The sequence below is a fragment of the Homo sapiens genome, chromosome 7, assembly GCF_000001405.40.
Source record: "Homo sapiens chromosome 7, GRCh38.p14 Primary Assembly".
In the NCBI taxonomy this organism is placed as follows: Eukaryota; Metazoa; Chordata; class Mammalia; order Primates; family Hominidae; genus Homo; species Homo sapiens.
The window spans coordinates 14,691,365-14,705,114 of record NC_000007.14 but is presented as its reverse complement, the minus strand read 5'-3'; the positions used below and the strand labels follow the sequence as shown (position 1 = coordinate 14,705,114).

At 35.6% G+C, this 13,750-nt stretch overlaps 1 protein-coding gene across 26 annotated transcripts in view; it reads left to right on the top strand.

Moving 5' to 3' along the window:
* The window catches only part of DGKB (diacylglycerol kinase beta), an 829,810-nt gene that overhangs the window by 269,744 nt on the left and 546,316 nt on the right, over positions 1-13,750 (top strand). For 25 of the 26 annotated variants that reach the window (XR_001744571.2, NM_001350722.2, NM_001350711.2 and 22 more), the window contains 3 exons: positions 3,385-3,434; positions 6,946-7,020; positions 10,921-11,040. Coding sequence is in view for 25 of the 26 variants with exons in the window: in NM_001350722.2 (NP_001337651.1) it covers positions 3,385-3,434; positions 6,946-7,020; positions 10,921-11,040 (245 nt within the window). In the remaining variant the exon portion in view is untranslated. The remainder of the gene's footprint in view (positions 1-3,384; positions 3,435-6,945; positions 7,021-10,920; positions 11,041-13,750) is intronic. The other variant, XM_047419929.1, reaches the window with a different exon arrangement.

Sequence of the window (13,750 nt, the reverse complement as noted above, 5' to 3'; positions counted from 1 at the left end):
TCTCTGTATTGGTTATTCTAGTTATACATTCTTCTAAATTTTTTTCAAAGTTTTCAACTTCTTTGCCTTTGGTTTGAATGTCCTCCCGTAGCTCAGAGTAATTTGATCGTCTGAAGCCTTCTTCTCTCAGCTCGTCAAAGTCATTCTCCATCCAGCTTTGTTCCGTTGCTGGTGAGGAGCTGCGTTCCTTTGGAGGAGGAGAGGCGCTCTGATTTTTAGAGCTTCCAGTTTTTCTGTTCTGTTTTTTCCCCATCTTTGTGGTTTTATCTACTTTTGGTGTTTGATGATGGTGATGTACAGATGGGTTTTTGGTGTGGATGTCCTTTCTGTTTGTTAGTTTTCCTTCTAACAGACAGGACCCTCAGCTGCAGGTCTATTGGAATACCCTGCCGTGTGAGGTGTCAGTGTGCCCCTGCTGGAGGGTGCCTCCCAGTTAGGCTGCTCAGGGGTCAGGGGTTAGGGACCCACTTGAAGAGGCAGTCTGCCGGTTCTCAGATCTTCAGCTGCGTGCTGGGAGAACCACTGCTCCCTTCAAAGCTCAGATGGAAATGCAGAAATCACCCGTCTTCTGCGTCGGTCTCGCTGGGAGCTGTAGACCGGAGCTGTTCCTATTCGGCCATCTTGGCTCCTCCCCCTTTTTTTCTTTTTTCTTTTTTTTTTTTTTTTTGAGATGGAGTCTCGCTCTGTCGCCCAGGCTGGAGTGCAGTGGCGTGATCTCGGCTCACTGCAAGCTCCGCCTCCCTGGTTCGCGCCATTCTCCTGCCTCAGCCTCCCGCGTAGCTGGGACTACAGGCACCTGCCACCACACCCGGCTAATTTTTTTTTTTTTTTTTTTGTATTTTTAGTAGAGACGGGGTTTCACCGTGTTAGACAGGATGGTCTCGATCTCCTGACCTCGTGATCCACCTGCCTCGGCTTCCCAAAGTGGTGGGATTACAGGCATAAGCCACCGCGCCCGGCCGGCAAACATTTTCTAAATGTTATATTCAATTCAATTCAAAAGAAAAGATGTAGAAGTCAAGATAATGGGTGTCTTTGGAGAGAGAAGAAAAAATAATGATGGGGGAGGATGAAAGGGGTTCTGATTTGTTAGTAAGAATTCTATTTTTCGATTTAGAGGTAATAGTTACATTGGTGTGTACACTTTAATAAGGTGTTAAATAATACGTTTATCTGTAAGTGTAATATTACAATAGTAAGTTCATTTTTAAAACCAACGTTAAGTACACACTATCCTTGGGAAAGACATAGAAACGGGTTTATTTCAACTGGTTGTTTTTAATAAAGCATGTTATTATTTTTAAGCGATATTTAGGAGCATGCAGAATCACTGGGAGAGGTAGAGAACAAATTCTAGAGGCTGCCTTTTCAGGAACGATGACCAAATGAAGTATTAAATTGGGCTGGGATGGTTGCCTCGAAACACCCCTGACTCATCCAGAACCCTGGATATTCTCTCTGAAATCACTGCCGCCTCCCATCACCAGAAGGGATTCTGTGCAAGCTTCTTTTGCTTAGGTCACTAGCATCTGATTGATAACCTGGGACTGTGCTTCTGTGTGGTGGAGCCTGGGCCATGCACACAGTCTAGCTTCAAGTCAGGCTAGTAAAGAAAAGGTATCTAGAGTTTTCATTTTCTAATGCTCTTCATAAAGTGTGATTTTCAGAAAATAGGAAGAAGTTTCAGACACTGTCAGTAATGAATGCCCATTATCTATATATATCCTACCCATGTGTGTTTCTTTGAGTTCATGTTCCCATTAAGGTCAACAAATCAGAACAGGGTTTCCACAAATTTGAGCGACGTGAAATGGTCATTTTGCAGTCATTTACTCCAGTAAGGGTTAACAGAGTTATAAATGTCCCTCAATCTGAAATATATTTAGGCTTTTCTAGATATTTGCCTTATTCCTGGTAGTTAATCATTTCTCTGAGTAGTCCGTCAATTCTTGCCACTTACAAAGATATTTTTCACTATTTGCTGCTGCACTACAATCTCTTGAAATGCCTAGTATCCACAATGTTGTAAGTTGCTGTTTCCTTCTGCATTTTATTTATTGACTGTATGAGAAGGAATCATTACCATGATTTACAATACAGATATTTAAGTCTTTTAGCCAGTTTAGTATTATTGCCCTTAAGTCAATAGACAGACATTTGTTTTCTTACACTTTAACATCTTTAACATTTGTTTGCCTCTTACAATAAATATAATATTATAGTGACATGGCTAACTTTTTTTCTTTTTAGCAATATATAGACTAATTATGCATCTTATTAATAATAATATGTTAGAATTGGTGAAATGCAGTAACCATTAAATACAAAAATAATCACCTACAAATAGACCATCAGGGTCATTATATAATTATGCTGCTTAGTAATCAACATCTTTATTAATATTATAGACTTCAGACATCAAGATCATTCAGGAAATTATACAAACCCAAGACAAACCCGTACTTCCATTCTTCTATTTTTACAGCTGTGTCTGTCTTCTCTATTTATCTCAAAATGGCACCTGTGGCCTCCTCCACAGCCTCCTGGGGATGTGTGAATTATACAAGGGAATCCTCAGGCCCATCAGGGACCTCTGTCATCTGCTTTCCTGAACCCCCTAACAGAGACCCAATGTTCTCCTTTCCCTTACTTGATTAGTTCAAACATCAGTTACCCTCTGAAGCTCCACCTCAGATTTAAACAAATAAACCATGAGAGCCATGATCATAATGCAGTTTTTCTGTGCTGGCTTCCTCCATCAGAAAGAACCTGTTATTTTGCACTCCGCCTTCCTCGCCCATACTGCTTGGGGATCAATCCTAACAATGGCATCTATTTGTATCATGATCTATGGCTTACATTCACTTTTGTGTCTATCACCTCCCTTAACTTTCACAGTTAATATGTGTTATGGTAGAATGATTATTCTCACTTTACAGATAAAGAAAAGTTTTTGACCAAGCTCTTATAATTGTGAATAGTGGATTTCAAATTATAGTTGATTTCTAAATTTCACATTTGTTGTTTTTCCTTATGCACTCTGCTCTTTAATACCCAGGCTTTGAATATTTCAACTTCTTCTCTTTTAGTTTTGAGTTGACATTTAATGATCTTGTAATAAAGAGTTTAAACAAATAATAGTACTTTTTAGTGTCTTCTAGAAACAAACAAAATTTGATAGACTTTATGCTATCCAGTATTTCTATTAACTAATTAATTCATTTTCAATTTAGTTTGAGAAATAATCCCACAAATTAATTGTTTGGAGCAGGAGAGGAATTTAGTATTTGTTTTCAACACAAACTAAATTTTAATGAATATACTTTAAACTAACATTGATCTTATTTGCCTATAATCTTGTTTTCAACACCTCTTTCATTCTAGTTATGTTTCGCCTTTATGACACGGATGGGAATGGCTTCCTGGACAGCTCGGTAATTTTTTTCTTCAAAGTTTCTGTGAAAACTTCAAAGATTTTCTTCTGAAGAATGCAATGAATAAATTTGTAGTTATTACCACAGAAGGCACACTTAATGTAATTTACATCCACTCATATGGCATTTTTATCTTTTTGACTTTTTGCGAGAGAGTGATCTGAGGAAACTGTTGGGATTACAATTGTTCTACTGAATAGTTTTGCATACCACAGCATGACTTTTTTAATTTTATTTTTCCTGCACTGAAGTTAGGTAAAAAAAAGAAAGGCACCAGCCTTGTCTGAATAAAACATAAGATTAAGTTGAAACCATTGATTTAGAATGAGGGAAAAACTATCTGTAACATTTGGCATTAAGGAAACTTGAGACTATAAGTAGAATTTTAAGGATGTATAAAGTCAGTTTAATTATCTCATTATTTTCCCAGTTTTACATGGTATCTTTTGTCCTATATGCGGCTGAAATAGGTAAATGTATTTACAGATTGCTTTCACAAACTTTGCTTTTAAAATATCTCATCCAGTTTAATATTCATTTTACATTGTATAGTTATAGTCATAAAAAATAAGAAAATACCATCTTTATATGATTAACTGAAGGGAATAATTAAACGTTTATTTGTAATATATGGAAATCATTGCTAGCTTTCAGAGAAATAGAAAGTAGTTCTTAGTCTTAGTGCACAGATCAGTACCATGCATGAAATTCCATCTCAGGTTCTATCCAATAATCTACCTTATGTTTGGTAACATATTTTGCATATTATATTATTTCTTGTTCTATCAAGGAAATATAAGAATATTAATAGAATAAGTGTCATTTGGAAATTTTGAAGTGTACCATTTTTAATGTATTTAATATTATTAAAAACAAATGTTTTGATATATTTAATAATGACTGAAATAGACATGATCTCTGAAAATGAGTGAGTTTTTCTCGTCATCTGATAGACCACCCTATGGCAGCTAAAATAGACTTTTAAAAGCAAAGCAATGAGGTTGGAAGCCTATTTATGTAACTTTGAGTAGGATAATGGTACATTAGCTTCTCCAGAGAGAGATTAAAATATATAACTCCTACTCTAGGAAATGACCATCACTCTGAATTGATGCTGTGATTGTGGGATTTATTATCTGTAAGTCTCAGTAATTTTTCAAATGCTGGCTGGGTGTGGTGGCTTATGCCTGTAATCCCAGCATTTTGGGATGCCAAGACGGGCAGGCGATCACCTGAAGTCAGGAGTTTGAGACCAGCTGGCCAACATGGTGAAACCCCGTCTCTACTAAAAATACAAAAATTATCGAGGCGTGGTAGTGGGCACCTGTAATCCCAGCTACTTGGGAGGCTGAGGCAGGAGAACCGCTTGAACCCGGGAGGCGGAGGTTGCAGTGAGCCGAGATCGTGCCACTGCACTCCAGCCTGGGCGAGAGAGCAAGACTCCATCTCAAAAAAAAAAAAAAAAAAATTTTTTTTCAAATGCTATTATTTTTAAGTGCCTAGTGGTCTTCAGTTTCCCATTAGAAATACCAAGCTACATAATAAATTTGCTCATTTTATGGTGCCATTTCACGACTAGAAATTTTAATTTCTTCTAGATACTTTAATATGCTTAGTATAGCACTTGTGACTACACTAATGCAAATTCTATTTTCAAGGAGAGTTGTTTTATTTAATGTTTCTTTTTTAATTAAATTAAAATGATGATTCTTTACTAGGCTTTAGCCATGGGTTGGCAGTTGATTTGAAAATTCAGTCAAATAGTCCTTTTTTTTTTTGTCTCTGCCCATTTTTTGTTAGCATATACAGTAGACTACTAGCAATATTTAGAACTATAGTCCCAATATTAAACAATGAGTTGGGGATAAATATATTTAGTTTTGATTAAACTAGTCTCTATTTTTTTGTAATTAAAGGCCTGGATTTCATTTCTAGGGTTTTCTCCACAATAGCTACTACTCCAATATTTTTCCTTCGCTGTCAGGTTTAAATTGTACCTTCTGACATCATGTGTCTTGGTACCTTTAAGGTGTAGCAGTTCACCTACTGGAGGCAAAACAGAAAGAAAATGATAATTTGAAAATTGTCCACTATTTCTAATAATAATAGTTAAGATTTGTTGATCATTTGCAATACGGCAAACAACAAAATAAATGCCTTTTGTATAATAACATGTTTAACCTTTGAAGCAATTCTATGAAGGAGGTAAAGTTAGAGTAGCTATTTTACCAACGAGAAAACTGAGTCTTAGGTGGGGTGGCTTACCTAATATCACATGCCTACGTAACAGTCCACCAAAAATAGTTTCTGTTCTTAAAAGATATCCGGGAACTTTAACACTTCCAAACCATTAAGGCATATGTAAGCAAAGATGGAGTAGGTGAGAGATTAGTAATGCATGTGTGCATACACATGCACACTTTTAACCTATAATTCAAAGGGATTTATGTTTTAAAATTTGTTAATCTGTAATAAATACATTTATCTTTGTATTACTTCTGGGGCAGCCTGTCTTACTTAAGTAACATATTCATAATTATATTTTTTTTTTCTGGAGAGAGGGAGTATAGCTTTCATTAGTTCCTCGGAGGGAAACACGGCTTCCCAAAAGAGAATCTGTTTTATCGTATTTCTTCTCTATTCCATGAACATCGACTACATATATTAGATTAGAGATTTGAGTAGAATACTCTTTGACTATTGCACTTTCAAGCTTTATTCTTTTATACTTCTTACATTTTAAATCATACGGTAAAACACCACTTTTCAAATTATGTAATGTTTTCATGTGAAATTACAAGCATTTCACAAAGCCATGTTTAATCTTTTCTGTAGGTAGAGAAAAATTAAAACATTAGATAAATAGGCAGGAAAATGTTTTAATTAATTTAGCCAGGTCATCTGTATTAACTTGCAATTCTTCAAAGAGTTGATAATTGAGCAGAATAATATGGAAATTCAAACTAAAATTTCATCCTCTCACAAAATAAATGCTGCATATACTTGTCCTGCAAACCTTGGCCCTGAACACTCTTCTTTCAAGAGCAAATTATTCAATACATGACTAAAACAGTCAATGTATATTCTCAGTGTATCAAGATAAAAATAGACTTCTCAGTTGTCCTCAAATGATTTGTCCACCCTTTCACATCTATTTTCAAGCCAAAGGTTCAGGGAATTCAGTGTCTTAAAAATCACATGTGACAGTATGTATTTGGTCCTGCTTTCTTCAGACACTCTCTTTTAGTAGAAGAAAATGTATTTTTTGTAAAGTTGTGCCCTCTCCTGGTGAAAATTTCTAGACAATGTACAAGATAAATTTATATTCAGGATTCTTTTTTCTTTATATAGTTAATTAGACCTTTAAAAAGGATTATGTACATATATATATTCCCATAGAACTCATTTAACTTTTTTAGCTACACATTGAACAAAACAATTTCTGCAAGTGAAAGATTTAAAACTCACTAAGATCTTGTATTCATATTTTTTATCTCTCTTTCTCTTCCAGGAGCTAGAAAATATCATCAGTCAGATGATGCATGTTGCAGAATACCTTGAGTGGGATGTCACTGAACTTAATCCAGTAGGTATATGAATGATTTCACTATTGGCTAAATTCTGGAAGGCCTCTTTCTTTCTTTTCTTTCTTTCTTTCTTTCTCTTTCTTTCTTTCTTTCTTTTTTTCTTTCTCTCTCTCTTTCTTTCTTTCTTTCCTTCCTTCTATCTCCCTTTCTGTTTCTCTCCCTCTTTCTTTCTCTCTCTTCCTTCCTTCTCTCTTTCTCTTTCTTTCTCCCCTCCCTCCCTCCTACCTTCCTTCCTTCCTTCTCTCTCTCCCTTCCTTCCTTCTCTCTCTCTCCTTTCCTTTCTTTCTCTTTCTTCCTTCCTTCCTTTCTTTCTTTCTCTTTGTTTCTTTCTTTCTTTCTTTCTTTCTTTCCTCCTTCTTTCTTTCCTTCCTTCCTTTTCTTTCTTTCCTTCCTTCCTTCCTTCCTTCCTTTTCTTTTCTTTCTTTTTCTTTTTTTTTCTCTTGTCTGGGACCCTGATATATTCCTGTCATTTCATTTTATCTTTTGATAACTAAGTTACTATTTCTAATCAGAAGTCAAAGTGGATTCTGAATAAGATAACAAGGTATATGTGGGGTTCTGAAGCTGTTAACAGTAACTTTTGCTTTCTTCCTCGTGGAAGTTATTTTGAATGGTGGTCTTACATACATGTGGATAAGCAGAAGGTCCTGATAGACACTGCCAAGGCCATGCCATGCCATAAAAGAAGATGGTAGTTTTCCATGCACAGTGCATCATGTTACCTTGTGTATATGTTATATATTGCTTTCAACTCTCTGAGGTAGATACACTATTTTTTTTCCCTTTTGCAGAGAAGTAAATTGAGACCCAAATATGTTAAAATTACTTGCCCAAAGCTCTTCAGCTAGTCAGGAATTTTTAATTAAATTGTTTAGAGAAAGAGTATCTAAAAATGCTTTTAAGAATATAGAATTCTTATTTTGAATAAACATCAAAATTTCAACATTATTAAAATACATATTAAAATATACTTGACTTGAAACCATAACTTTGGCCACAAAAAATATTTTGGGGAAAGTTGATAAGAGATATTGAGTTTATATTATTTTTAAAACCTTTAGCAAAGTGTATATGAATAAAGCAATGCAAATAAATTTTATTTAAATGATTTTACATTTTATGCAAATTCAAGAAGTGTATATTTAACCTCTGTTCACATCTATGCGGTAAACAACAGGATAATGGCATGAGTATATGCTGCAAGAACTCTGATAGCATTTTCCTGTCTTACTGGGATTAGGATTTTTCCAGTTTTAAAGCAGCTATTGGGAAATGCATATGCTGTGCTTCTAGTGAGTGGCAGATGTCATTAACAGGTTGTCATTTGTATGTGGAATAATAAAGTAGATGGTAACATGTATTTAATTTATTGTTTGACTCACCTTAATATTTTCACTGAAAGCCAGGAATTTCTGATTATTTCTGTTGCCCTTGTAATCGACAACAGCTTTCTCCTCTCCTACTCACCTTTCTACCTGTGCAGATTAGTCATCTGTCAATCAAGCCAGCTTGTTATTAGATGGAGAGTGGGAGGGGGATTTGTTTTTCCATTCAGGTTTCTTTTTTTTTTTTTTTTTTTTTTTTTTTTTTTTGAGACGGAGTCTCGCTCTGTCGCCCAGGCCGGACTGCGGACTGCAGTGGCGCAATCTCGGCTCACTGCAAGCTCCGCCTCCCGGGTTCACTCCATTCTCCTGCCTCAGCCTCCCGAGTAGCTGGGACTACAGGCGCCCGCCACCGCGCCCGGCTAATTTTTTTTGTATTTTTAGTAGAGACGGGGTTTCACCGTGTTAGCCAGGATGGTCTCGATCTCCTGACCTCCTGATCCACCCGCCTCGGCCTCCCAAAGTGCTGGGATTACAGGCGTGAGCCACCGCGCCCGGCCTCCATTCAGGTTTCTAAACAGCGGGCACTAACACTTCTCAACAAAAGCATTTTTGGTGTGTGTGTTGGGGGGTGTGTTTGTAGATTTGAGAAAAAGGACATCAGGATGCTAGGAGGAAGGGGAAAGCTGGTGGCTGAGTAGTCTTTCTACAACAAATACCTAGTGTATTTGTCAGATTATTGAATGGAGAATACAAGTAATAAACTATAGCATTATTTGACATGTGTGTTACTGATAAGTCTGCTACTATTCCAGGGAGCTGAAATGGTACAAAGTTGTACATTATGTCTGCTGTCATGGGAACTGCCTTGTCATCTTGCCTAAGGCTTCAGTAGTTCTCATTGTAAACAAATGTACACATCAGCAGGCTTCTCATAGGTTTGCATATATAAATAAAGAGAAATGGGCCGGGCTCGGTGGCTCAAGCCTGTAATCCGAGCACTTTGGGAGGCCGAGGCAGGTGGATCATGAGGTCAGGAGATTGAGGCCAACCTGGCTAACATGGTGAAACCCTGTGTCTACTAAAAATACACACACAAAAAAAATCAGCCGGGCGTAGTGGCGGACGCCTGTAGTCCCAGCTACTCGGGAGGCTGAGGCAGGAGAATGGCGTGAACCCAGGAGGCGGAGCTTGCTATGAGCCCAGATTGCGCCACAGCACTCCAGCCTGGGCGACAGAGTGAGACTCCATCTCAAAAAAAAAAAAAAAAAAAAAAAGAGAGAGAGAGAGAGAAATGAACATTTGAGGTTGATTACAATAGTAGTAGGGAAGACTGGAGCGTCCCTAGAAGTTTTTATCAAATTAACTCAGGCTCTACACTCAGTTCAATCTTATTTTTTTATGAGGCCCATGGGATTTGAGACACGGTCAGAGGATGGCTTTAACATGAGATTTATTAGGTACAAAAAGGAAAGCATCACCCATCTGAAACAAATGTCATTGTTTTATTTCTCTTATGATTGATACATTTCTACTAATTCATCAGCAAGCTCTTGAGAGGCAAGAGGAGAAAAATAATCTAATTTTCAAATACAATACTTCCTGAGTGAAGACACCAAGCACAAGAGTGTCTAGGCAGACAATACTTCTACCAACAAATCAAATATTTCATGCATTGCATCTTTTCCAATCTCTGTTCCAATGCTCTCTGCATTTCTCTTTTTTCCAAATTGATTAACATTTTTGTATTATATAAAGACGTGAGTTCCTTTCTTCATTAGAATTCTTACCATGTTTGCCATCTTGACGCCATTAGATGGGAAGTACTTTGCTTTCCCAGCAACCAAGGGTAATATGTTTGGAACTTATATATAATTTCCATTAATAATAGCACAAACAACACTATATGACTCTGACTCTGTATGCCAGGGGCTCGTCTGCTTATAATACGTTAGCTTATTTAATCCTCACAACAGCCCTTCTAGGTAAGTACTGATATTGCCACCATACCACAGAGAGGTAAATGTATTGCAAACAAACACTGCAGAGAACATTTTAAGACATTACGTGCAAGTCATCTTTAGAAACGAAGTTTAATTAAACTTGATTTGATCCTTTAACTTCTCGACTCTATTAAATTCTGATAGGCAATTAAAAGCAACTAAATTCCTTCGCCCCTTACTACTTAGCAAAGAATTATATGAGCTCTTTGCCATGAAGTTAATTTGTTCAGACATTTTCTGGCATATATATGAATCTAAAAAATAATATGAAGAAAGTAATTAAAGACCACTTTCACACTTATTAAAGATTCTTCTTGTTTTAGCTGTGCTGTTCATGGGAAAAATATTGAAAAGTTAAGCACTTATTTCTAAAAAGTGATCAGTGTTAAGTGGCCAGGTTTAGAAATGCTAACAAAGTCGCTCTTCATCAGTAATAGAATTAATGTTGTACTGAGTTAGCAAGACAGTTATCCCAACTCTCCACTTAGCTGTTAGTCACAATTTCATATGTTGTAGCCTATGAAATTTATTTTATTGGTTGACCACCAATTTTCCCTTATCTCCTCTACTCCAGATCCTCCATGAAATGATGGAAGAAATTGACTATGATCATGATGGAACCGTGTCTCTGGAGGAATGGATTCAAGGAGGAATGACAACGATTCCACTTCTTGTGCTCCTGGGCTTAGAAAATGTAAGCATTTCCACAGAGGAGGGTGGCCTGGTGGTGAGTCAGTGGGGCTCTCTATTACACATTTTGATTACAGATTGATGTGACCATTTTCTACCATTAAGCATGCAGTGAGTGCCTGGAACTTTTAATAAGTATGCCACGGTGCAATTTGACAGTAACTCCTTGTGTAGTAATACTTGCCACACACATATTGATTCACTCCAGGTATTACTTCAGGATTAAAAATATATTCTCTCTCTTTTGTTTTCCTCTGTTGAAGGTGCAATCTAGTGTTTTTAAGTTACTGACCTCCTCATATTATCTAAAGCAAGAGGCTCTCCAGTATTATTGTATTTTGCAGTTCTTTTGGTGCTTCATTATTTCAATGTTCCTCCTACCTATAAAGGTAATCTATTTTATTGAAAACTGATACTTGGAGGAGGCAGTTAAATATCTCCAGTGGTTTAAAGATTAGTGGTGCCAAAAGTCATTGCGTTTTCTGCCATTACCTTTAATGGCAGAAAACGCAATGACTTTTGCACCAACTTAAATAAACGTAAGTTTTTCCTGTATCAGCAGGAGCCAGGTTCTTATTCTATCGCCTGTCAAAAGTTTTCTTGGAGTAGTTCCTCTAGTTGCAATTAAATACCATTGTGAAGGAATAAAATAAATCAACCTAAGATGAGAATGTAATATAATAATGACTTTGAAAGCAAATCTTGCTGACCCAGACTTGAAGCAGATTTCAGTTATTTTTATTCTAAAAATCTGATGAAATCTATAGTGTATGCCAGATTTTTAAATTCAGCATTAATAGTTATGCAATAATTAGATATACTATGTATAGAATAACATGTCTACTTAATTTCAAAGAACATTAGGGGTGGAAAGAACAATGAAATTGTAATATTTAGAGTTTTAAGGTGTAAGACCATAGTATTCACCACTTTGCTGCCAAACCCAAAACTCTTCATACTTCTTATTACCAGCTGAAATATTTTTACAGATTCAAGACTATATCATAGTTATTCAAGACACCAAATTTTTAAAAGTCATTTCTCAAGATAACTTACTGTCTGTGTTTGTGAAACATATGAGTATATATAAAAATATGTTGGCACATATGGGTTTAGGAATATATAAATGGGCTTTAGGAATATACAAATGAGCTGAGGGTTAAGGAATATGTATAAGTTTAGGAAAAAATAATAGGTTTCAAGAGATTACTATTTGTTTTCTTTTTTACCTGGGTCTTCAAATTTCTTCTAAACTCAGTTGAAGCTTACCTTTCATGAGGCCCATGGGATCCAAGACATGGTCAGAGGATGGAAAACAATAAAATACTAATAAGTGATATATGGAAAGTTACCCTTAAACTAATTTATTTAAACAAAATATAATATATATATTATTGTTAATAAGTATGTAGTTCTACACTTAAAAATTTTGTGAAATAGTATTTTCTTGTACCTGAATTTCTTATACTACACATAACTGAGTATTTTTTTATAATACCATATTTAGCTCTATATTATCAATATTTATTTAATTGTTCATGTACCTTATGACAAAAACCATTATGTAAATCAGACTACTGGGAGAAAACAAAAGAAAAATTGACAAAATGTTGACATTTTAAGGTTTAATGTATACTTTATCCTGAAAAATTGTCAGATAACTTTAGTCAGGAAATTCCAATAATAATGATTCCCGAGAAGGACATTTTATGTTTGTAAAGCTAAACTTTGTATATTCTAAGCATCTATGTAAATTCTAGGATGAGAGAAGGAGGGAAGATGCAGGAATGAGCAAGTAAATCATCTGGTAGTCGAGGGTGAGATAGAAAAGTGCAGAAAGGGACAGTCAGTTGCCCGTATTTTAAATGTCACAAGAGATTTTTTGAAATGATGATTTTTTTTGGAAACTACTGCTGATATATTATTTATTATTTAATTTATAAATATAGATATTTGTGAAGTTATAAAAATTATCACAGGTAATAGAGTCCACAAATCTATATGATTTAACTCAAAGTATTTTAAACCAATATAATACCTCATTAGTTTCTAGTGTAGTATTATTTCAATTGTAAGGCAATTCTATGCATTTAATGTGCACTCTATTAACTGTACATAATTTACTTTTTAATAGTATTTGTAAACTTATTTTTTATGTTTTTAGTAAAAGGGAGTGTCTGGAGCTAAATAGGAGAAATCTAAGGTTTTATTATAGCTATCAGAGCTGTGTTCCAGAGTTGTGTTACCAGTGACGGCCGCTAGATGGCAGAGGCACCTTATTTAATCTCAAGAGACCACCTTAAATCTGAGACTAAATTCCGCCCCCCACCCCATCTCTGTAAAGAACAACTTTAAAAGAAGAAATTTCCCTTTTCTTTCATTTTTGTGAAAAAAGTAAGCCACCTACATTTTAAGCTGTCTTTTAATAAAATGTATAAGCCATATAATCATGTGTAATGATCACAAAATACAGCATCTATTTGTTAGAAAGAGCTGTTGAATTCTAAGGCATGGTAATTGTTTTAAAAAGCAAGAATGACACCAAGACAACTGAGTGATGAGAACCTTTTTTAGCAATTGAGATTTATTTCCTTTCTGTAGGCAGTTAATGTGTTACATTATTACCTGTAGAGAATTTGATCCATGAATCTATCCCCTCACCTTTGCTTATTTAATTGAAAATCTAGATACTGCAGTTTGAAGTTGGCCATTTG